At 48.6% G+C, this 22555-nt stretch overlaps 2 protein-coding genes across 20 annotated transcripts in view, besides 3 other annotated features; one reads left to right on the top strand and one right to left on the bottom strand.

Moving 5' to 3' along the window:
- The window catches only part of EYA3 (EYA transcriptional coactivator and phosphatase 3), a 118267-nt gene extending 106596 nt beyond the window's left edge, over positions 1–11671 (top strand). For 8 of the 15 annotated variants that reach the window (NM_001282560.2, XM_011541001.4, XM_011541003.3 and 5 more), the window contains 2 exons: positions 3541–3641; positions 4626–4745. In NM_001282560.2, coding sequence (NP_001269489.1) covers positions 3541–3641; positions 4626–4733 — 209 coding nt within the window. In that variant the 3' untranslated portion in view covers positions 4734–4745. Of the gene's footprint in view, positions 1–3540; positions 3642–4625; positions 4746–7468 lie in introns of those variants that run through there. The other 7 variants (NM_001282562.2, NM_001282561.2, NM_001990.4 and 4 more) reach the window with 1 other exon arrangement.
- A 2250-nt stretch (positions 11672–13921) lies between these two features.
- On the bottom strand, positions 13922–22042 carry XKR8 (XK related 8). 5 transcript variants are annotated; one of them, XM_011541679.4, is made up of 5 exons: positions 21653–22042; positions 18322–18518; positions 16557–16664; positions 16134–16296; positions 13922–15512 (listed from the first exon to the last, which is right to left on the bottom strand). In XM_011541679.4, exons 1-5 carry the CDS (start codon positions 21834–21836, stop codon positions 14815–14817), a joined length of 1350 nt encoding a protein of 449 aa, XP_011539981.1. In that variant the 5' UTR covers positions 21837–22042; the 3' UTR covers positions 13922–14814. The 5 variants fall into 5 exon arrangements, 4 of the variants coding, with proteins under 4 accessions (XP_011539981.1, XP_047279782.1, XP_011539982.1 ...); XM_047423826.1 differs by lacking the exon at positions 16134–16296; XM_011541680.4 differs by lacking the exon at positions 16557–16664.
- Positions 21538–22101: an enhancer, noted in NCBI's record as "H3K27ac hESC enhancer chr1:28286425-28286988 (GRCh37/hg19 assembly coordinates)". NCBI's record gives its function as "activates a minimal SCP1, AML or CMV promoter by ChIP-STARR-seq in naive H9 embryonic stem cells {active_cell/tissue: H9 hESC(naive)}" and the evidence as "EXISTENCE:reporter gene assay evidence [ECO:0000049][PMID:30033119]".
- Positions 21538–22171: a biological region, named in NCBI's record as "H3K27ac hESC enhancer GRCh37_chr1:28286425-28286988".
- Positions 21782–22171: a silencer, noted in NCBI's record as "silent region_533". NCBI's record gives its function as "represses an Ori minimal core promoter by ATAC-STARR-seq in GM12878 lymphoblastoid cells {active_cell/tissue: GM12878}" and the evidence as "EXISTENCE:reporter gene assay evidence [ECO:0000049][PMID:35858748]".

The raw sequence follows: 22555 nt of genomic DNA, 5'->3' as shown, positions 1-22555 counted from the left end.
AAAAAAAAATTAGCCAGGTGTGATGGCTTGTACCTACAATCCTAGGTACTCTGGAGGCTAAGGTGGGAGGAGCACTTCAGCCCACAAGTTTGAGGCTGCAGTGAGCTATGATTGTGCCACTGTACTTCAGCCTGGATGGCATAGCAAGACTTTGTCTCATAAATAAGTAAATAAATACAGCAACTGTGAAGTGTTAAGATTTTACAAAGCTTCGTTGGTGGTAGGCATTTTTTTCTTTTTTTTTTTTTTTTGAGACAGGGTCTCACCAGGCTAGAGTTCAGTGATCACGACTCACTACAGCCTCGACCTCCCTGGCTCAAGCAACCCTCCCACCTCAGCTTTTCGAGTAGCTTGGGATTATAGATGCACACCGCCATGCCTAACTTTTCCTATTTTTTGTAGAAATGGGGTCTCACTTTGTTGTCAAGGCTGGTAATTCTCCATGCTTTTTTGTATGGTTGAATTATTTCATTTACAAGGGATTGGGTGGAAGGGAACATATATGAAAGCGCTCCCTTCAGATATTGTTCCTGCTGCCGGTTGCTTTATGTATATCATAGGAACCCAGAGCACTCACTGAGCCTCCCACATCTGAAAGACAGATTTTCTGTAGTGCTTATTATACTGAGACCTGGCACCCGCAGGCTCATCAGGCTAATGGAAATGATCTCATTCCCTCTGTCAGTAAGTGTGCTTATTTGGTATTTTTCCTCAGTCTCAGTTCATCCAGAGCTAATTTGCAAAGCTGCAGTGGGATCTGGTGCTATGGTAACCACAGTAGGAGGCTTGAGGCTTTTCTTCACAGAACTGTGAAATGGGAGCAAGGAGAAGAAATACTTTTTCACTTCCTCTGAAATGATAGCAAAATATGGTTCTCTTAATGGCCATTCTGTGATTTGGGGACATTAAAGAGAATTCTCAAAATAATTTCTGAAAATGTCAGAAGTTTTTTTTGTTTTGGGGGGTTTTCTTGAGACAGGGTCTCACTCTGGTACCTAGGCTGGAGTGCAGTGGCACGATTATAGCCCATTGCAACCTTAACCTTCCCACGCTCAAGCGATCCACCCACATCAGCCTCCTGAGTAGCCAGGACTTCAGGCGTGTTCCACCACCATACCCAGCTAATTTTTTAATTTTTTGTAGGGAAAAGGTCCCACTGTGTTGCCCAAGCTAATCTCAAACTCTTGTGCTCAAGTAATCCTCCTGCCTTAGGCCTCCCAAAGTGCTGGGATTGCAGACTTGAGCCACCGCTCCTGGCTAGAAATATTTTAATAGAGAAAACCCAGGGACTAATATTCTCCAAAGATTTGGCTGATCTTACAGTTCACCAGCTTCAATTGCTTGACATATGGTAAACTGATTAATCATTGGCCTCATCCTCCTGAACAGGAAAGCTCATATCCAGAAATGGAAGTATTTTACCAACTGTATTGGAGTGAGTCCTGTTTTCATGGAGCTGCTTCTTTACTTTGAGCTGTTAATAACTCTCTTGGCCTCTTAATCCTTTTAAAGGAGACATTACAGAGTATATTTCATCCTTGATCATTGCATGCCAGGACAGTGAAAATGTCTGTGTTCTTATCCTCAAAATATGAGTTACTGCCTTTGTTGAGTCTTACAAGAAAGTCAAACTGACTCACTTAAAAAAGTTTTTTGCTACAGACAGATCATAGTAGACTGTGCATCTGGTGGAGGTTGGCTTAGTTTGTAAAGCTGTAATGGGTGAAATGGAATTAAAGAACTCTTCAACACCATGAACATAATAAGAATTTATTATTAGTTGAATGGTTTAATGTTTGAACTGAATTGAGGCATAAGACCTGGACTACAGTCCTCCACTGAATCATTTGTGAGATTAATATGAATTTACTCAGCAAACATTGATTGAATCCCTCATATGAATGTAAGGCATGACAATTCTATTGTAAAATATTAGCACTAAAAGAGACCCAAGTGCACCTAAGCCAAGCCTTGTATTGTAAGTGGCCAGCTGAGCCCAGAGTGATCTAGTGTCTGGTCCAGTTGACTAGTCCGTCTGTTTTGAAGTGCCACTGGGTTAAGGATGTCAAAGATTTGCAGTTACATATCTGCACAACTTCTGTGCCAAGTAGGACTTCTGCGTATGGAAGTATAAGTTCTGGCCAATTATGTTACAGTTATCTTAGATTTGTATATTTATATATTACAGTGATTTTCCAGCAGATGGCAGTCAAATGTCTTGAGGAAGAGGCAGCTTTATCTTATTTACACAGGAACCCTGGTGCTAAGTCACTCTGTTGGGCAAGGGGAAAGAACAAGAAGGTTAATAGAGCAGGATGAAGAAGAAAGCCAAAGTTAGGACCTTGTTTAACTGAAGAAGGTGGCAGAAGCAGGGAGATAAAAAGAGCAAGGGATATAACTTCTTTTTATTTATACAAATAAAGTATCTTTCCCACAGCAGTATGATCTGTGTATGTTTTAGGTGTTGGTTGCAGATGGGATTTGAGTTTTGATACACTGCCATGTTTCTCAAAACTGTCTGCAGTTCTGAGAAATGGATTTAAATCACCCATTTCCCAAGGTCAATTTCAGTGATGCAGTATCTTGGTTACAACTACAAGGTATAGTAAGTAAGGAGGTTCCAGATATGACAAATGTTGATGCCATATTTATTGGTCACTGTTCTCAGTTCTATTCTGGGGCTGTTCTCTCACTGAAAGACGTAAGGCCTATACCCAGGACTGTTTCTGGGAAATGAAGAATTGGAGGGAAATGGCTTTTTGTTTGTTATTGTTTCTAACAAGAAATCAGGGCCTTGTGTTTTCACTTCTCTTTTCTACCCTAAAACATTTCACCCCAAAAATCATTCATTCATTATGACACAATGACCAGAGCCTAGATTTGGAGTCAGGGGCCCCAAGTTCTAGCTACTTGCTTGTTTGTGATCTAGGGGCAAGTCACTAAACCTATTAATCTTTCCCATTTATAGAAATTCCCTCACACTAAGATCTTAGGGACTTCACCCTCAACGTGAAGGTTAAAATAAGTTTTTGGGTTGTTTGTTTGTTTGTTTTGAGACAGAGTTCGCTCTTGTTGCCCAGGCTGGAGTGCGATGGCATGATCTCGGCTCACTGCAACCTCCGCCTCCCGGGTTCAAGCGATTCTCCTGCCTCAGCCTCCCCAGTAGCTGGGATTACAGGCACGCGCCGCCATGCCCAGCTAATTTTGTTTTTTAGTAGAGACGGGGTTTCTCCATGTTGGTCAGGCTGGTCTCAAATTCCCGACCTCAGGTGATTCGCCCGCCTCGGTCTCCCAAAGTGCTGGGATTACAGGCTTGAGCCACCATGCCCGGCCAAGTTATTTTAATGGCACAACTTCACATTCTTTGGGCAGAGGGTCTACTGGATCTCTAGCTCCCATCCCTACTCCCCAGCAAGCAAACTACATGGGCTGTCACTTAGTCCACCTAAGCACAGGCAGGTGAACCTAGCAGCAGCCCTCTTCTTTGGTTTTGAAAAGAAGAGAAGAGTATTCTAACAGGAAATTTCTTTTTCTCATCAGGTAAGGAGAGCTGCTTTGAGAGAATTGTGTCAAGGTTTGGAAAGAAAGTCACATATGTAGTGATTGGAGATGGACGAGATGAAGAAATTGCAGCCAAACAGGTAACCATGGTAAAGAAAAATAGTCTATGTGGTTGTACATCGAGTAATGAGAAAAATGGGAAAAACTACAAAATCTTAGCAATCTATTATGCATTTATAATATTTTCTCTTTCTTCCTCTCCCATTTTTCTTTAAAGAAAAAGAGGGTCTTTTTTTTCTCCAGATGGAGTTTTTCCTCTTAAGTTTTTAGATCCATCCCTTCCTCTTCCTCCCTGTCACTCAAGAATCTTAAAATCTTTAAGCCCTTCTACAGGGATCCCATCATTAAACCTGAGATGTGCCCCATCTTCCATCTTCAAAGACAGTGCCTTCTCAAGCATCAGACTTGACTGCAAAAAGGCTAATCATTCTTTCTTTTCCATGCTTCAAGTTCTCAGACAGTACAACCAATAGCTGTTTCTGTAGAGAAAGTCTTTCCTGCCTTTGAGCCCTGGAAAGATTGTTCTGATGTTAACCCCACCACTATACAGGTCCCAACTTCAGGTCACCCCTTCTTTTTTTCTTTTTTCTTTTTTTTTCTGTTTTTGAGATAGAGTCTCACTCTATCTCCCAGGCTGGAATGCAGTGGCACAGTCTTGGCTCACTGCAACCTCCGCCTCCTGGGTTCAAGCAATTTTCCTTCCTCAGCCTCCCAAGTGGCTGGGACTACAGGCACCCGCCACCATGCCCAACTAATTTTTGTATTTTTAGTAGAGACGGGGTTTCCCGTATTGGCCAGGCTGGTCTCGAACTCCTGACCTTGTGATCCGCCTGCCTCGGCCTCCCAAAGTGCTGGGATTACAGGTTTGAGCCACCACGCCTGGCCCAGGTCACCCCTTCTTAATATAGGAAACAATAGATGAAAGAGTCTTGGCTATAGAACTTAAAATCCCATCTGTGTCTCAGCTATGTGAATTTGAACAATTATCCTCTTTGAGTATCCTCATCTGCTAAATGGATCTGTAGAAGTTCTTTCCCTCCCTATCCCAATTTATTTTCTTCCAGCAACTCTATTTCTTAGACATGGAGGCATTGGGTTGCCAGCTAGAACCAACTGCCCTGATACTCTTCATCCAGTTAAGTGGAAACCTTAGCAACTATAATAAACTATGAGATTGGTAATCAGTTGGCATTATTATCTCATGTTTTCATTTGTCACTTTATGTAGCAATTCAGGGATCCTTATTTTTTCACATATGTTATGAAGCTTTGATTCTAAAGTGCTTCTTGTTGCCCTCTTTGGGAAAGACACTAGTGGGTGTAGGCATCAATGTTTCCTGGTCTGAAGAAGGGTATGGGGGAGAGAACAACTCATCAGCAGAGTTGGTAACTCTGAGCTAATGTCTTTAATCATCTACAACAGAATACATCCATTGAGGCTGGGCACGGTGGCTCATGCCTATAATCCTAGCACTTGGGGAGGCTGAGGCAGGCAAATCACCTGAGGTCAGGAGTTCGAGACTAGCCTGGCCAACATGGTGAAATCCCGTCTCTACTAAAAATATAAAAATTAGCCGGGCATGGTGGTGCACTCCTGTAATCCCAGCTACTCGGGAGGCTGAGGCACAAGAATTGCTTGAACCCTGAAGGCGGAGGTTGCAGTGAGCCGAGATCGTGCCACTGCACTCCAGCCTGGGCAACAGAACAAGACCCTGTCTCAAAAAAAACAAACAAAGTATATACCAATTGGAAAATGCCTTAGCACTTTATCCAGTTCAACCTATACTCTGTGAAGGATATTTTCTGCAGCCTTTCTGACAGAAGTCTCTCTAGTCCTTGCTTGAATATGCCCAAGGATGAGGACACTGGTTCCCAGTAGCCTATTCCACCGTGGGATCAACCAAGCTGTTAGGGTGTTCCCCCTTCCACTGAGCAAAAATTTCTCTACCTTCACATACTAGTCTGGCATTCTTTTTTTTGTTTTGTTTTGTTTTTGAGATGGAGTCTCACTCCATCGCCCAGGCTGGAGTGCAGTGGCATGATCTTGGCTCACTGCAGCCTCCGCCTCCTGGGTTCAAGCGATTCTCGTACCTCAGCCTCCCAAGTAGCTGGGACTACAGGTGCACACCACCACTCCCAGCTAATTTTTGTACTTTTAGTAGAGACAGGGTTTTGCCATTTTGGCCAGGCTGGTCTCAAACTCCTGACTTCAGGTGATCCACCCACCTCAGACTCCCAAAGTGCTGGGATTGCAGGCATGAGCCACTGCACCTGGCCTCTAGTCTGGCATTCTTGAACATAACAAGTCGGTTTCCTCTTCTGTATGTTAATAGCCTTTTAAATATTATGTGTGAGCAGCTGTCTTGAAAAACAACTAGGGTATATGCCAAAATAACTGTGTTCTAGGACCTCAATATTCTGAGTAACTTGGAACCAGTTTCAACTAGATGATAGGAAAGTTAATCTCCTCAGCTTCATAGAACATGGTTTCCAATACTTGGATTTATCAAAGCCCTCCTTTAAAATATGGCCTCCACATGAGAATCACCTAAACCTGGGAGTGGAGGTTGCAGTGAGCTGAGATAGCACCACTGCACCCCAGCCTGGGCAAAAGAGTGAGACTCTGTCTCAAAAAATATAAAAAATTAATTTAATTTAATTTAAAAATATCGGCCGGGCACGGTGGCTCACGCCTGTAATCCCAACACTTTGGGAGGCCAAGACGGGCGATCATGAGGTCAGGAGATCAAGACCATCCTGGCTAACACGGTGAAACCCCATCTCTACTAAAAATGTAAAAAATTAGCCGGGTGTGATGGCAGGCACCTGTAGTCCCAGCTACTCGGGAGGCTGAGGCAGGAGAATGGCGTGAACCCGGGAGGCGGAGCTTGCAGTGAGCTGAGATCGTGCCACTGCACTCCAGCCTGGGCGACAGAGTGAGACTCTGTCTCAAAAAAAAAAAAAAAATATGGCCTCCAGGCACAGTGGCTCATGCCTGTAATCCCTAGCACTTTGGGAGGCCAAGGTGGGAGGATTGCTTGAGCCCAGGAGTTCAAGACCAACCTGGACAATATAGTGAGGCTTCATCTCTACAAAAAATAAAGAATTAGCCAGGCATAGTGTCACATGCCTTTAGTCCCAGCTACTTGGGAGGCTGAGGTGGGAGGATCACTTGAGCTCAGGAGGTCAAGGCTGCAGTGAGCCATGTTCATACCACTACACTCCAGCCTGGGTGACAGAATGAGAGCCTGTCTCAAAATAAAATAAAAAGTAAAATATGGCCTCCAGAACAGCACACAGTTTTCTGGACATGATTTTGACTACATAATATAATGGGATTATTATTTCCCAGATCTGTACATTCTCCATCTTGGACATAGATAAGATTTAGGTGTTGCAGTTCTGAAACTTACAAGAAATTGACCATCCATGAGACAGTATAATCTTATATCAAATACTAATTTTTCACCTGGGCCATTTTATTTGATCCTTAAGACCCTGTATGATAACTGGAATGCCTGTAGTTCCAGCTACTCAGGATGCTGGAGTAAGAGGATTACCTGAGACCAGGGGTTCAAGGCCACAGTAAGCTATAATCACACCACTGCACTCCAGCCTGGGTGACACAGCAAGACCCTGTCTTCAAAATAATAGCTAGAACAGGTAATCTCTCAAAAGCACAAAGTACCACTGAAACCTATTTAAAATTTCTCACATTTCTAAAGTGTGCAATGTACAAGGTCCTTATGCATATGATTATTTGATCATTATAACAGCCCTATGAGGCAGGGATAGATAGGGTTACCATGTACCTTGGGGAGAGGTGTGTTGAGGAAAGAGTATGGGCAAATATTTATATAAGCTCTCAGAAGAAGTTGGATTAACCAGCTATTCCCACTCTCTTCCAGCACAACATGCCTTTCTGGAGGATCACAAACCATGGAGACCTAGTATCCCTTCACCAGGCTTTAGAGCTTGATTTTCTCTAAGAACTGGAATGAGGAGCCTTCCCCTTGAGCTCCTTTTCACTCCTGAAGGGAGCTGGAGACTGGAACCAACTGAGAACTTTCTCTGTCTGTCTCTCTCTGTGTCTCTGTCTCTATCTCTCTCTCTTTCTCTCTTTCTCTCTCTCCCTCTCTCCCTCCCTCCCTTCCTCTCTCCCTCCCTCTCTGCCTCTCTCTCTCTCTCTCTCTCTGTCTTTATCCATGGAATGCTGGCGAGAACACAATCAGAACCAACAGCTGCAATTTTTGCTAAGAGTGAGCTGCAGCCCCGTGTTCATCTCCATACAGAAGCAGGGACAGTTGGATAGAGAGAACAATGGACTCACTGCAGCTACAGTGCTTTTAATTTTTCTGTGTTTTGTTTTTGTTTTTTTGTTTTCAAAAAATGAAAAAGAAAAGGAAATTCCTGGGGCAGAGTTGCACTCTTAGTCCATGACCAGATTGAGAATTACTGATAACTTGTGGTGATCAGATAAATGCAGCAGACTTTTATGATAACATCTCTTGCAGTCTTAGAGTCTCCTTAGCTTAGAATCTCACTTATTTCCAGCGAATGTGTATGTTATTTTTATAGGTAAGGGTCTGATCTTTGACGCAGGTTTCCCCCACTTTCTTTTTCTAGCAAGAAGGGGTGTTTAAAGTCTTGAAAATAGTAATTGAAATATCTAAAATACCTCCCTGTGGCAGTAGCACCTCTATAGCTGCTCCAGTGGTCTGCTCTCTAGGATGATACCTTTCCTGTTCTTCTATCTCCTAGCTGGTGAACTGTGGGGCACTGGACACTGAGTAACTTAAACTTTGGCATTTCCCATCTAGAAGCCTTAGTCTTCTTTCCAGTCCCTTTTCCCTTTAGTCAAATGGCACAACCCTAAAAACTCCTTCAGCTTGACTGTCATTCAGACTGTATCACAGGAGGCTTAGCTTCCAAACTGGAGAGAAGGAACTAAAGTGTCTTATGAATTTCAGCTTCTTGGCTCTTGAGACCGAAAGGTTCTACCTATTCCCCCTGCAGAGAAGCACCCATTTCCCATCAGATGCTCGTCCCTGCAGCTTCTTCCTTCTTGGTCATCATAATGCTAGGTTCTTACCCCTTTCCTGCCCTCTGCACCTCATGTCCACCTCCAGGCAGCTCTGGCCAGTCCCCGGGTATTAGACCCAAGAATTCAAATCAAATCTAAAAACATGCTTATAACTACATTTTGGCCAAAACTGCCAATGTATTTGACTTCCTTTGTGGAAGCCCTAAGCCATATGAAGGATGTCCCAGGTATGTATTTACCCAGATCTCTGCCTGAAACTGAAGAGCAGATTGCTGTATTTAAATTTTCCCATGGAAAACCCTGCTTCTCAAATCCCATTCTAAAGTAGGAAACCAGAAAGACTTTGCTGATTGTGGGGGGAAGGGAGAAACAGACAGGTTTTCACATTGTTGCCAAGGCTGGTCTTGAACACCTGGCCTCAAGCGATCCTCCCACCTCGGCCTCTCAAAGTGTTGGGATTGTAGGCATGAGCCACTGCACCCAGCCAGACTTTCCTGATTTAAATGAGAGTACTGCATCATTCCCTACTTCATGGCCCAAAACTTAATCCTGGGCCAAATGCAGGAGCATCTCTCGACCTCTGGGCAGATTGGTGGGTGCCCAGGCACTAGTCACAGCCTTCCAGCCCAGCCATGATTGTTGGATGCCCCATCCCTCCAAGAGCAATTTGGGCATCTACTCAGGCAGGATAAAATTCCCTAGAGCTGAGGAAGTTCAGCCTCTCCCAGGCTACACAGAGAGAGATGATACAAGCACCTCAGATTGAGATGCAGGATTGGTCCGCAGAAGGAGGCATTGTTGACCAACCCCAGCTATAATTGCTTGTCACCAGAGATTCTGCATACCCATTTCCAGAGATGTTGCAGCACAAAGAGGCAAGACTCCTTCCAATGCCAGGCCACCCAGATAGCAAGAGAGAGAGGCTGGTATACACATTCCTTCAGAACTCATTGAAAAGCGCTCATAACTCGTGATTTTAAGGAGTAAGTTTTTGCTGAGTAGCTGAAGTCAGTGCTCCTTTACTTAGCTGCCTCTTTGGCCTTGTTTCCTGTGGGGTTGGGAGGAGGGAGATGTAGTGTGAGGTAGGCCTTCCCTTGGTCTGTATTCAGCATAGTTGCCTAGATGCTGCTCTGCCTTGTTTGATGGTTGATCTTAGGAAGCTCTAGGTTTTACTCTGAGGCCTCAAACCCTCCCCCTATGCAGTATAGCTGTTGGGTTTTTGTCCTGGACAAAGGCCACGGCTGTTGTGCTGCGCTTCAGGTTTGTGAGGCTGCGGAGTGGTACCCCCACCATGCACGCAAGCACACACACACAGATACTTCCCTCTCCACCCTTTTGGGAGCTCTTTATTTTAGAATGTAACTTGAACTCACTTTTATCATTGGCCTTTTTCCTCTTACTCTGACTTCCTAGCTTAGCTCTTTCCAAAAGGAACTTGAACTTGGCCAAGAGAGGTAAGGAGGCTGAGCAGAGCAGTCTTTGCTCATTCCTGGTTGTTGCCACCCTCATTTAAATGGAAGAGAGAAAACAGGAGCTTCTTGGCTGTTTGCCAAAATGAATTGTCCAGGGAACACAGTGCTCTCTGTAATTACCCTGCCTTTTTCTCCACCCCAACACAAAAATCTGGAAAGGAAAATAAGTGGGTAGGATTAAGAGCTGTTAGAAGCTGAGGACCAAAGGACACTGTGGGTCCATTCATCAAGGGGGAGACCCTCTTCATTAGAGTCCTCATGAAATTAGCCAAATGATGAGTCCTTCCCTAGCTGGGCATGGTGGGTTCTCTTTTTTTTTTTTTTTTTTTTTTTGTTGTTGTTGTTGAGATGGAGTCTCGCTCTGTCACCCAGGCTGGAGTACAGTGGCATGATCTCGGCTCACTGCAACCTCCGCCTCCCAGGTTCAAGCGATTCTCCTACCTCAGCCTCCTGATTAGCTGAGATTACAGGCGCCCACCACCACGCCTGGCTAATTTTTGTATTTTTAGTAGAGATGGGGTTTCACCATGTTGACCAGGCTGTTCTCAAACTCCTGACCTCAGGTGATCTGCTCACCTTGGCCTCCCAAAGTGCTGGGATTACAGGCATGAGCCACCATGCCTGGCCAGGCACTGTGGGTTCTACAGGATGGGTCTGTAATGTCACGGTGAGGGCTCTCTCTAGTAGTAGATCTGGAGTGAGGTGTGTCTTGGGTTGAGGAGGTGGCTTGACTTTCGAATGTAAAACTGACTGTGCCTTAGCATCACCCTGTCCAGTGCCCCTGGGGCAGCTGGTAGTGTCCAGAAGAATGGACACCTGCTCCAGATTTAGATGCCCATCTGGGCTTTTGTTTGATTTGCGGCGTTCCTGTCTTCTGTAAAGCTAGTGAGTTGTCCCAAGAGACTGATGCCACAGCTTGTTCGCAGTTTACACAAACTCAGCTTTAAAATTCCAAATAGAATCTGACTTGCAAACTCTAGCTGCAGCATGTGGAGCTTCTAGATGTTTACTACCTTGAATGGTTGTCAGTGTCACTGAACCACAGGGGAGAGGAGTATGGGGTAGAGCAATGGTCTGGGCCAAGGAATGGTGAGCTTAGGGTCTTCCTCTGACTCCTTACTCCTCAAGGAGGCAGTTAGGGTCCCTCTTAAGCAGGCTTCTATTTCTTACCACTAAATTGGTTTCCTTTTTCATCCAGAAGTTAGAACTCCCCAGATATTCACACTATAGGATCTGAATTCCGAGATTCTAAAATATCTTAAACCACAAGAGAGAAAATCTAGTTCTGCCTCAGCCCCAGTCAGCAGGCCATCTGTCCCTTCCTCTCCTCTGAGTCAGACAGCTCTGGCAAGCAAGGCTCCTTGGCTAGTTCCTAATGCACTGACAGGAGCCCTCCCATTAAGGACGACTTCTACTCAAAATGCGACTCTCCCTCTGAACTTCAGATGCCTCTGTTAGCAGGAAAAGGCATTGATTGGATTGGATATATTTATGTGACTGCGGGCATTTGTGGCTGTAGAATCCGTGACCGTAATGTTATATGTAATGGGAACTATCTTATAAACTTGAAAAAAATAAAGTTTTTATTTTCTATAGTTTGCTCCTGTGTCTTTTCTGAATAGGATCAGCACAGTTGCCCAGCTGTGTGGGGTCCTAATTATGGCTTCATAAAAATTCTAAGAGTTCATTAGAAAGATGTCACCCTTTCAGTAACTGGGTCATTTCACCAAAAAAGTAAGAACAAACCATTTGGTATAAATATACATGGGAAAATATTTTAAAATAATTTGTATGGGAGAATGTATTGTTTCTAAAATATATTGCTTTTAAAGTTTAGAACTGGAGTGAGAAAAGATTTCATTCACTTCCAAATATGCTGAAATTTATTAAGGAGAGAAATCAGTACCTTGCTGCACTGCACTTAAACCACAAAAGCGATAAAACTGACAAACTGATACCAAACCTCATTTGATTTGCCCTGATTTCCTGTCACATCAACTACTTTTTCTCATTTCATTTCTCTGATTTGGGTCTGGCTGTATCCCTCTGGTCTGGAAAACAGTCACAAAGCCTTTCTGCCTTTTAGTCCAATGAAGGAAATCAGAATTGGGTTCTAGCTTCCAAGTACCATACATGTCAGACTATAAGATGTATTTTTCCAAAAATTCCCCAGAAAAGAGGAAGTTGCCTATTCTAGTTATTAAATGTTTTCCTCATTAGGTGCACATTAGTTGAAGCAAACGCGTTAGCTGCTATATCCCTACTCAGTTATAAATACAAATATTAGAGGCATTGATTTCAAGCACAGAGTAGATAAACATCTCCATCTCTTCCTGCAATTTCAGGTGTGTGTGTATGTTTACATGTATTCAATTAGAAGAATGGTCTTTGTTCTAAGATTGGTACATCCTTTTATGAGATGATGAAAATAAATGGTGGTAGTTTTTTGTTTTGTTTTGTTTTGTTTTGTTTGAGGCGGGGTTTTGCTTTTGTTGCCCAGGCTGGAGTGCAATGGCACGATCTTGGCTCACCGCAACCTCCGCCTCCCGGGTTCAAGCAATTCTCCTGCCTCAGCCGCCCAAGTAGCTGGGATTACAGGCATGCGCCACCACGCCTGGCTAATTTTGTATTTTTAGTAGAGATGGGGTTTCTCCATGTTGGTCAGGCTGGTCGCGATCTCCCGACCTCAGGTGATCCACCCGCCTTGGCCTCCCAAAGTACTGGGATTACAGGCGTGGGCCACCATGCCCAGCCAAATGGTGGTAGTTTTTAATGCCCTTTTTTGTTAAAATTAAGTTGCAACCATGTTGGCCATTTTATAGGTACATGATATTCAAAAGCCTGAAAATCACTAGACAGGATGATCTGCAGGATCCTTTCTGCCTCTAACCATTGCTTGTATGTAAAAGTCACCAGCATCATCTCAGATCCTCTCCCTGCCCCCACCCTTCATCTCTGGGTCATCTTTAGTTCCAGGCCAACAGAGTGGTTACAAGTGCTTATTCATCCGGTGGAATTCTGTTTGCATCATTCCTTCCACCACAGTGGTTCAAGCTACCAGTGACTCCAGGTTCTGCTCCTTCTCGTGACATTTATAGGCCACACCCAAGTCACTGCTAACCAGCTTACCGGTTTTGCAGGAAGGCCTTCCCCAGCCATTCTATACAAAGTTGTAATTCCCACCCCCAACACACAAATACTTACTCTCTCTCCCTATCCCTTTCCCTTTTTCTTTTAGCACTTCTTAACACTATCTGATATACTAAATGTTTTACTTATCCTGGTTTTTGTGTCTCCACCAGAATAGTAACAGAGCTGAGACTATCCTGGATCCCATCACAGCAGTGACTAGAACATTTTCTTCTCTATCTCAATTGACTTTTCTGTCCCGTTTCTCCAAACCATGGACCTCCTAGAACAGCAAAAGGTTCCACTTCCCCAGCACCATCACCCACCACATCCACATCCCCTGAGGCACCTCATCACTTAACCTCTCAGAGCTCCCAGCAAAAAGACCTTTCTTCACCAGGCAACTATATTCACTTCTTGGCCCTAAATGTGTCTGTGGCCACTCCTGCTGGGCCCAGCAGCAGAGCTGGTGTTGAAGAGGATGCACTAAGTCAGCCCAGATCTGGATTCTGATCTCCAGCTGAGCTGTCTACCCCACGCTGGCTCACCAGCTCCTGAAACTTCAAACACGAGGTTGAGAAACCCCACCTAAGCCAGCCCTCTCTCTGTTCGTGGACCTTGACTGATTTTGAGAGGTAGATTTTATGTCCCTGATCTCTTCCAGTTCAGGCTCTGAACTCCATAGGGGATTTCGTTTGATGACACAGACTAGGTTGGAGGATTTCATGAGGCTTTATTCATAACCTAATAATACTGTTGAAAACAACACATCTGTCACTTGTAGAGACCCACAGGCACACACATTCTCTTCCTCTCACATAGACTGAGGTAGGAGGTACACTGGCTAAGGCAAAAAAAATACTCAGTGGCTGTGCAAGGCTCAGACCAGGCTCACAAGGCTCTTGGTTGAAAAGCAGCCCCTTGAGAGCAGGAGCAGAGGCCAGGCCAGCTTCACTGAGATCCCAGAGGTTCTGACTGGGGCCACCCAGAGTTGGGCATCCCTGGCTTCTAGCATTTGGGATCTAACCCGGGACTGGTTGGTGCAAGTAGCGGATGAAGCTAGGCTGGTAGCTGGTCTTGTTCCAGGTTGCAAGGACAGAATGATGTTCCTGGCACATAAACTGCTCTTGGCAAAGATTTGTTTCATGAATTGAATGAATGGTGTGGGGGAGGGAAGGAAGAATTCTAGAGGACAGCCCCTGTGGCCTCCTAGCCCAGGATAGGGGAGCTAAGGGGTGGGGCAGCACCTATACCAGTCATTTTAGAGGTAGCCAGGGAGGGAGGTGGAAGTTTTGGGGCACCAGCTATACCAATGGCAGGGGGAAAAGGTAGTCTTCTTTCCTCCCAAAGTGTCTTGTACATAATTGGGGCTCTTGACCCTCCAGGGCCCAGCCCTTCTCATCTTGTTCACTGTGAACTCCTTGAAAGGAGGCCTCTGCCCGACTCAGCACCATCCCTGGTGCCCGGCCCAGCACAGGCGTCCCGCTCTTGCTGAGTGCATAGAGGCCACAGCAGCATCGTTAGCTTATCCTCGCCTGCCTTCTGCCAACAGAGTCACTCTCCATCTCTGCTGGCTGGGTCTGATCCTGCTTCAAAGGACGCCGTTCACCTATCCCTTCACTGGCGAAGCAGCCTCATCCTTAGCCTTGGGGAAAAACTTCTGTGCTAAATGGGTCATGCGCCTGTTCTGAGGCAGCTGATACCCCTCTGGAGAAAGCAGACTCCGGGCCCCGTCTACCTGGTCAGGGTCGGGCTTCCAGCAGCAGCTAGGGTGCAGCCAGTGGTAGTACACAAGCCGCAGAGCCAGGCCCAGAAAGAAGCAGCCGCATCCCACAGGCAGCCACAGCTGCAGTGGAATCCCGCTGGGCAGCCAGGAGCTATGAGTCACCCAGGTGGCCACCAGGAGAATGCTGTCACTCAGGAGGAAGGCGAAGTGGATGATGGCCCGGCCTCGGGTGCGGCCCTCAGCCACGTTGAACCAGGAGAAATAGAGGATGGTGGCCACCGTCACCCGGTACAGCCACTCGGAGCTGGGGTCCGGCATGAAGTCTGTGCCCTGAAGCCAGACCCAGAGCAGCAGTACCAGCCACAGGCCCAGGAAGTGCAGGGCCACATAGCTGGGGAAGAGGGCTGAGAACAGGGCCACAGCCAGGACTCGGGGCCACAGCAGCAGCAGGTTCCACAGGAAGTAGATCACGGAGGAGCCCAGGCCCAGGAGCGGCTTGGAGGGGAGGCAGGTGCGCAAGGCCCGGTGGTAGTCGAGCAGTGCCCACGAGATGCCCAGGAAGGATGTGCAGATGCCAACCCCTGCAAAGAGTAGGAGGGAACAGTGAGTCCTGGGGCCAGCCTGCTTGGCACTCCCCAGCGGTCACAGGTACCGTGGGGGCCCTCCCAGCAACCCTGGGGTAGGTATTAGAATCCCTCGTTTGTTGAAGGCAAATCTGCAGCTAGAGAAGACCCAGTGAGTTCCCACAACCAAAAACAAAGCTATGACTCCTAATATAGAGCCTGCCCCTCACCACAGCGCTTTGCTGCGTAGGTGCTATCCGGGTGGTATTTGTCAAAGATGAGAGGATGTGACCTGTGGCCCACCCAGCACTCAGCACCCCTGGGCCTTGGCTGCATCCTGGGCATCTTCCAGGGCCCCATAACCCTTTCTTTCTGGGAAGAACACAAGCCTTCCTTGTGTCTAAAAATCAACAGTCTCAGTTCCGTCTTTCTTAGTCTCAAAAAGGGAGTAGAAAATCCCATGGGGTGGCAACAGGCTCTGGCTAAAGCTGCCCTCAGGGCCAGGAGAGATGTCCCTGCTGTGTGGACAGAAGGTCTCCCCACTCCCCTCCCCTCCCCTCCAAGACCAGAGGCCATCGGACTGACCCCTAACCTTGATTTTCCAAGATCCAGAAGTTTACAACAGGGGTCCTATCCCACCTCCTGGTTGCCAATCCTGGAGCAGAAGCACAAGGGCCTCCAGGGAGGGATGGAAGTGGCACCGGCACGTCTCCCGACTGCTTCCTCCCCTGTCCCCGTCCACCGCAGTCATTCGACAGATGTTTACTGGGAACCTATTAGGCGCCCAGAACCCACTCCTAGCCTGGAAACAGATCTGTGCTCATTAGCCTTGCCCAGGTCTCAGCAGGGCTGATGTTCTTCCAGTTTGCCCAGCATGCCACCTTCCGTGACCTTGACAAGCTCTGCCCAGGATGTTAGGTCGCCAGAAGCACAGGCCCCACTTCCCCGGCCTACTCCTCCATTACCCCGCAGGCCCCAGCTTGAAGAGCCCCGGGAGTCACCCACCCTGACCCCATGCCACCCACTCAGCTGTGTCAGGTATCCCTGTAACATGCCACCCACCTCTGTCTGGAGTCTCATCACACAGTAATTATCTATTTCCTTATCTCTGGGCTCCTCGAGGGTAGAAAACAGACTCTGCTCACTTGGGATCCCCCAGCAGCCCAGTACCTGGCACATAACAGCAGCGAAAGAGATGTTTGCTAAATAAAAAGTAGGGAAAATCTGTCTCGCCCCCTTACCCCCTGCCACACTCACAGTGCAGACTGTCTGCACTTGGCCCTGGTTCTAGACACCCCCAACCCTCAACAGACAAAGACGTGTGCCCAGTGAGTGCCCAGTAACCCAGGGCAAGTCACTCACCTTTCTGCACCTCTTTAAAAATGAAGATCAATATAGCACAAACCTACAGGGCTGCTGTGAACATGAGCAATGATGACTGTAAGTGCTTCCCACAGGGCCTGGCTAATAGCTGGCACTCGATTGTGACAGCCGCTATTATTGTTTTTTCAATCAATATATAGACTCAGACTAGCAAGACGAAAGGGCCCTTGGAGATCGAGTCCAACCTCCATCTTCCACAGGAAGGCTCTCCAGGTCACACAGCGAGTGACGGTAGAGTGAGGACTGGTTTCTTGAGAGGCTGTGGCATTTATGGCAGCGGTGGAGGAAGGCAAAGGGGAAGGCTTGGACCCTGAGTCGGATGTGAGTGGGGGCCCTCTTTAGCTTGGCCACTGTCCAGGTCTGTGGAAATGGGCAAGTCACTTTCCTTTCATGCAAAAACCCTCCCAAAGCTCCTCACTGTAAACTTCACCCATGCTTAGGGGGCCCTGTGATCCTCTGCTCCCTGCCTCTCCCTTTTCCAGTCACTCAACCGTAGCTACTTGTTTTAGTCTATCATCCTGGCAGGGCAGGGGCTGGGTTCATCTTGTTCACTGCTGTGTCCCCAGCACAGTAACAGGCACAGAAGAGATGCACAATGAAAACCTGACTGGATGAAGGCATTCAATATATTGTTTCTTGTTTCTCTTTTAAAATTTTGAAGAGATGAGGTCTCACTATGTTACCCAGGATGGTCTCCAACTCTGGCCTCAAGCGACCTGTGCACCTTGGCCTCCCAACGTATGAAATTGTTTCTTAACTAAAAAGTTACCTATGCTGTATCAGGCACCTTACACACTTCATTATCTTCAAAATTATAAAAATTACAATTAAGACTTGTGGGCCAGGCACAGTGGGCGACACCTGTAATCCCAGCACCTTAGGAGGCTGAGGTAGGAGGTTACTTGAGCTCAGGAGTTCAAGACCAGCCTGGGTAACAAAGTGGGACCTCGTCTCTACAAAAAAAAAAAAAAAAAAAAGAAAGAAAAATTAGCCAGCATGGTGATACACACTTGTAGTCCCAGCTACTCAGGAGGCTGAGACAGGAGGATCACTTGAGCCTGGGAGGTGGAGGCTACAGTGAGCCATGATCAGGCTGCTGTACTCCACTACGGGCGATGACAGAGTGAGACTCTGTACCAGGAACTTATGTACCAGGAAATGGGCTTTCTTTGCATCACCTCATTTAATCCTTTCATCAACCTTATGAGGCAGGAGGATTTAAGCCCATATTTCAGATGAGAACAAACATACTCAGAGAGGTCAAGGCATTTGTCCAAACTCAAACAGCTGTAGAGTGACTTTAGGTTTCAAGCCAGATCTGCCTGACTAAAGCCTGTTCTCCTGTTTTCTAAGCAGCCTTTATAAAAGACTAAAAACAGTTCCAACATTTGAGAGACCCCCCACCAAGCCACGACAGGGGGGCCAGCCACAGGCCTTCACTCACACTGGTAGTACTCAGCCCGGCCACTCTGCAGCATGATGGCCAGCACCAGCGTGAGCTGTGGTGCCGTCTCCAAGAAGGTCTCGAAGAGCCGCAGCATGCTGATGTCCAGGGCGAGGAAGTCGGCGTAGGCCAAGTCAAACTCAGAGGGCTCCTCCTGCTGCCACACCAGCAGCCCCTGCCGCAGCTCCTGCACGCACCTAGGCACCACACACAAATGCCCAGAGGGCCAGGTTAGTGTCCTGTGAATTCCTCAGCCTCCCACCCATCTAATGAGTGGACACAGGCTCCAACCTGTCTCCTCACATCCATGCTATGGGGCCTTCGGCAATGTCCTAACCTCACTGAACTTGTTTCATCTGTAAAATGAGGATCGAGGCCGGGTGTGGTGGCTCATGCCTGTAATCCCAGCACTTTGGGAGTCTGAGGCGGGCTGATCACGAGTTCAGGAGATTGAGACCATCCTGGCTAACATGGTGAAGCCTCGTCTCTACTAATACAAAAAATTAGCTGGGTGTGGTGGTGCGCGCCTGTAGTCCCAGCTACTCAGGAGGCTGAGGCAGGAGAATCTCTTGAATCTGCAAGGCGGAGGTTACAGTGAGCCGAGATCGTGCCACTGCACTCCAGCCTGGCGACAGAACAAGACTCCGTCTCAAAAAAAACAAAAAAGCAAAAATGGGGATCAATACACCTTCTACTCCCGCTGGCTAAGCACTGTCCCAAGCTCATCACAAACCTTGTCCTGTTTACTTCTCACAAAAGCCCATTTTACAGATGGGGAAACAGGATCAAGAAGCTAATAAGGTCTGGGTGCAGTGGCTCGCGCCTGTAATCCCAACATTTTGACAGGCCAAGGCAAGAGGATCACTGGAGGCCAGGAGTTTGAGACCACCCTGGGCAACACAGCAAGCCCCATCTCTACAAAGAATTTTTTTTAATTAGTTGGACGTGGTGGTACAAGCCTGTAGTCCAAGCTACTCAGGAGGCTGACGCAGGAGGACAGCTTGAGCCCAGGAGTTCAAGGCCACTGTGAGCCATGATTGATTGTGCCACTGCACTCCAGCCCAGGCAACAGAGACCCTGCCTCTCTCTCTCTTTTTTTTTTTCTTTTTTTTTGGAGACAGAGTCTACATCTGTCGCTTGTCGCCCAGGCTAGAGTGCAGTGGCACAAACTCGGCTCACTGCAACCTCCACCTCCCAGGTTCAAGCGATTCTCCTGCCTCGGCCTCCAGAGTAGCTGGGATGCTGGGATTACAGGCATGCGCCACCACACCTGGCTAATTTTTGTAGAGATGAGCTTTTGCCATGTTCAGCAGGCTGGTCTCAAACTCCTGACCTCAAGTGATCCACCCACGTCAGCCTCCCAGACTGCTAGGATTACAGGCATGAGCCACCAAGCCTGACCAGACCCTACCTCTTTTTAAAAAACAAACAAAAAATTATAAGCAGCTAATAAGTACTGGAATGAGGATTTGGATCCAAACCTGAATTGGAAAGGCATGCTATAAAGTTGCCTGAGGCAGTAGTTCTCAAACTTTAGTGTGCCCAAGATCTCCTGGGGTCCTGTGGGCAAGAGGACATTTGCCTCTTGGGCACTTCTGGGCACAGGCCAGATGGAATCAGACTCTGCCTTGCCCCGGCCACACAGGGGAGGGGCTGGAGGAGGGTTAGATTGGAAGGAGGGATCCCATTTAAGAGGCTGGCCCTGAGTGGTTAAGGATGGAGATTGGGGCGGAGTTAAGAGAGTCCAGAGTTTGGACAGACAGGTCTGGGGTACCCACTGGCATGAAGAGTAAGTGGAGGATGCACCAAGGACCCTCCACCCAGAACTTTGCTCTCAGTTGCCTATTGGGAGAGAACCCCGTTCACTCATCACAAGCTCATTCACCAGACATGTACTGTCACTTCCCCTGGAAGGACACAAGAACACACTGAGGAGCAGGCAGGCAGGACAGGCTGGGGTTCTCCCTCAGCAGGAGCCTTTGCCTATGGTCCCCAGTGACCTAGCAGGGACCCCTGCCTCGGCCAATTCACAGGCAGGAACAGAGACCCATTTCCAAAGCCAAAGCTAGTACAGTCTGTCTGACTCAAGCTCAGCAGAAATATTGGCCACAAAGATGCATAAGGTAGTTACAGATTCACGGCTCATGGAGGCCTGCCCAGGACTTAACAACTGCACCCCTTCATGCCCACCCGGGGTTTTCTGATGTCTCTATAATCCCTCAGGCAAAACTGCCACATTCAAAGCTCCTCTCTTCCACTCCTGGAGACTCCGTGTGGCTTTGTCAAGGCCAGATCTCAAGAGTTTGTAAAAACGGATTCAAGAGCAGATCCTGGCCCTGGCCACCCCATCCCAACCCACACCACCCTCTGCCCTGACTTTGTCGCATGCCTCTGAGCCTTGGGTTTGTTTTCCCATCTCTACGAGGCTCCACCAGGTCCAAAAAGGAGCAGAATCCACACACATTTTCCAGGACCCAGCCTATGCCCAGCCCTGGCTGGCTCCATGGGCATGGATGAGTCAGAGGCCATCTCTGCCCTCTTGCTGGGTCTGGGGTGGGAAGCCAAGTTTCAGGGGGAAGAATACAACCAGGCAGACAGGGTGAGAGGCGGCCTTTGTGAGGGGCAAGCGCTGTGGTGGGGTCAGGGCTGCTGAAACTCCCAGGGAGGCCCAGGTCAAGAAGCCAGCTGAGGTTGCTGAGTGCTCACTCTGAGCCAGGGCAGTGGACAGATGTCATTTCACTGCATCTTCACCAAACGGGCAGGCGCTATCCCCATCCCAATGGGAACAGCAACCAAACAGCCCCACTGAGAGGTCAGTGACTTCCCAAGGCCCTGCCCATGCTGAAACATGGGATGCTGAACTGAGTCCGCAGCCCCTGCCATTACAGGCCAGGCACTGTGCGAGGCACTTTCTCATTCTTTCGCTCACTCTTCACAACAGGCCTGCCCGTCACACCTGTCTCAGGGTGACTACCTCCTTTCTACGCAGGAGGAAACTGAGGCTCAGAGAAATGCAGAAGTGAGGCGAGAGGGGGCAAAGCCAGAAGTGGATCCCTGAGAGGTCCGACTTCAAAGCCCATGCGCCTCCCTTTCTTCCCTGGGCCTCAGTTTCTTCGCCTGTGCCAGGAAAGCTAGGGCTAGAATGAAGGCAGTCTACCGGGATTCCCTTTCCGTAAAGGGCTGCACGCTCACCTGTAGGCCAGGCGCCCACAGGACTTGGTTCCCTCTCCCAGTCCCCTTCCCGGCATATGGCGTGTCACCTGTACAGGTGACCCAGCTGACGGAGGTGCTGGGCTCCGACACTCCTCCCCTCCCGGGGCGAAGCACTCACCTGTACAGGTAACCCAGCTGCAGGAGATGCAGCAGCGCCAGGCAGCGGCGCGGGGGCTGCGACCCGTGCAGGCCGGCAGGGTCAGCGCGCAGCCAGAGCCAGCTGAAGAGCTGCAGCGCCACGGAGGCCAGGCCCAGCAGCGCCAGCACCAGCGCCGCCCACAGGTAGCGGCCGCCGAGCGCATACTGGACGGCGGCCCACAGGTCGGTGCCCAGGTCGAGCAGGAAGGCGGCGGTGCCCAGCACGCCCAGGACCAGGTCCCGAAGGAGGGCGCCGCGGGACGACCAGGGCATGGCCCGCCGGCCTCCGCCCTCTCCTGCTCCTCCGCGGTTGGGGCCTGCCCTCAGGGCCCGGGGTTGCCGAGGCAGGAAGGAGGTGGGCGCAGCCCTCGGGGCGGCCCGGGGCCTGGGCCTGGTGGGCGGGACTTCCCCGTCCCGCCCCGTCCGGGGAGGAGCGAGGCCCGCGGTTGTCCCAGGTCCTCCGCCCGAACCCCAGCTAAAAGCCGCTCGATGCTCTGCTCCCGCCGCCAGCCCAGGGGTCCACCGACCCAGCCCAGCCAAGCCCGCTAGGCCTGAAGACCGACTGCCCTTCGCTTCGCAGGCTTCAAATGGCCTAGTTTTACCTTTGAGGCGCCCGGAGGCCCAAGAAAGCGAGAGGGCGGGGAGACTAGAGCCTGGACCAGGGCTGCGATCCCTCACACCTGTATTGTTGCAAAACAAAACGAAACGCAAAGGCACATTCTAATCCCTAAGTGCGAGACTTTGCAACAACGCGTGCGCCTCGATCCAGGGATACCCGGAGAGCACGGGGCCGCTGGGTTCACGCCAGCGATCCGAGTCGGGGGAGGGCGGGCGTTAGGTTCCTGCAAATGAGTTAACCTCATTTCCATACGGAAGGGAATAG

The sequence above is a fragment of the Homo sapiens genome, chromosome 1, assembly GCF_000001405.40.
Source record: "Homo sapiens chromosome 1, GRCh38.p14 Primary Assembly".
NCBI lineage: Eukaryota > Metazoa > Chordata > Mammalia > Primates > Hominidae > Homo > Homo sapiens.
Note: the sequence above shows the minus strand (reverse complement) of the source record. Positions and strands in the feature narration are given on the sequence as shown.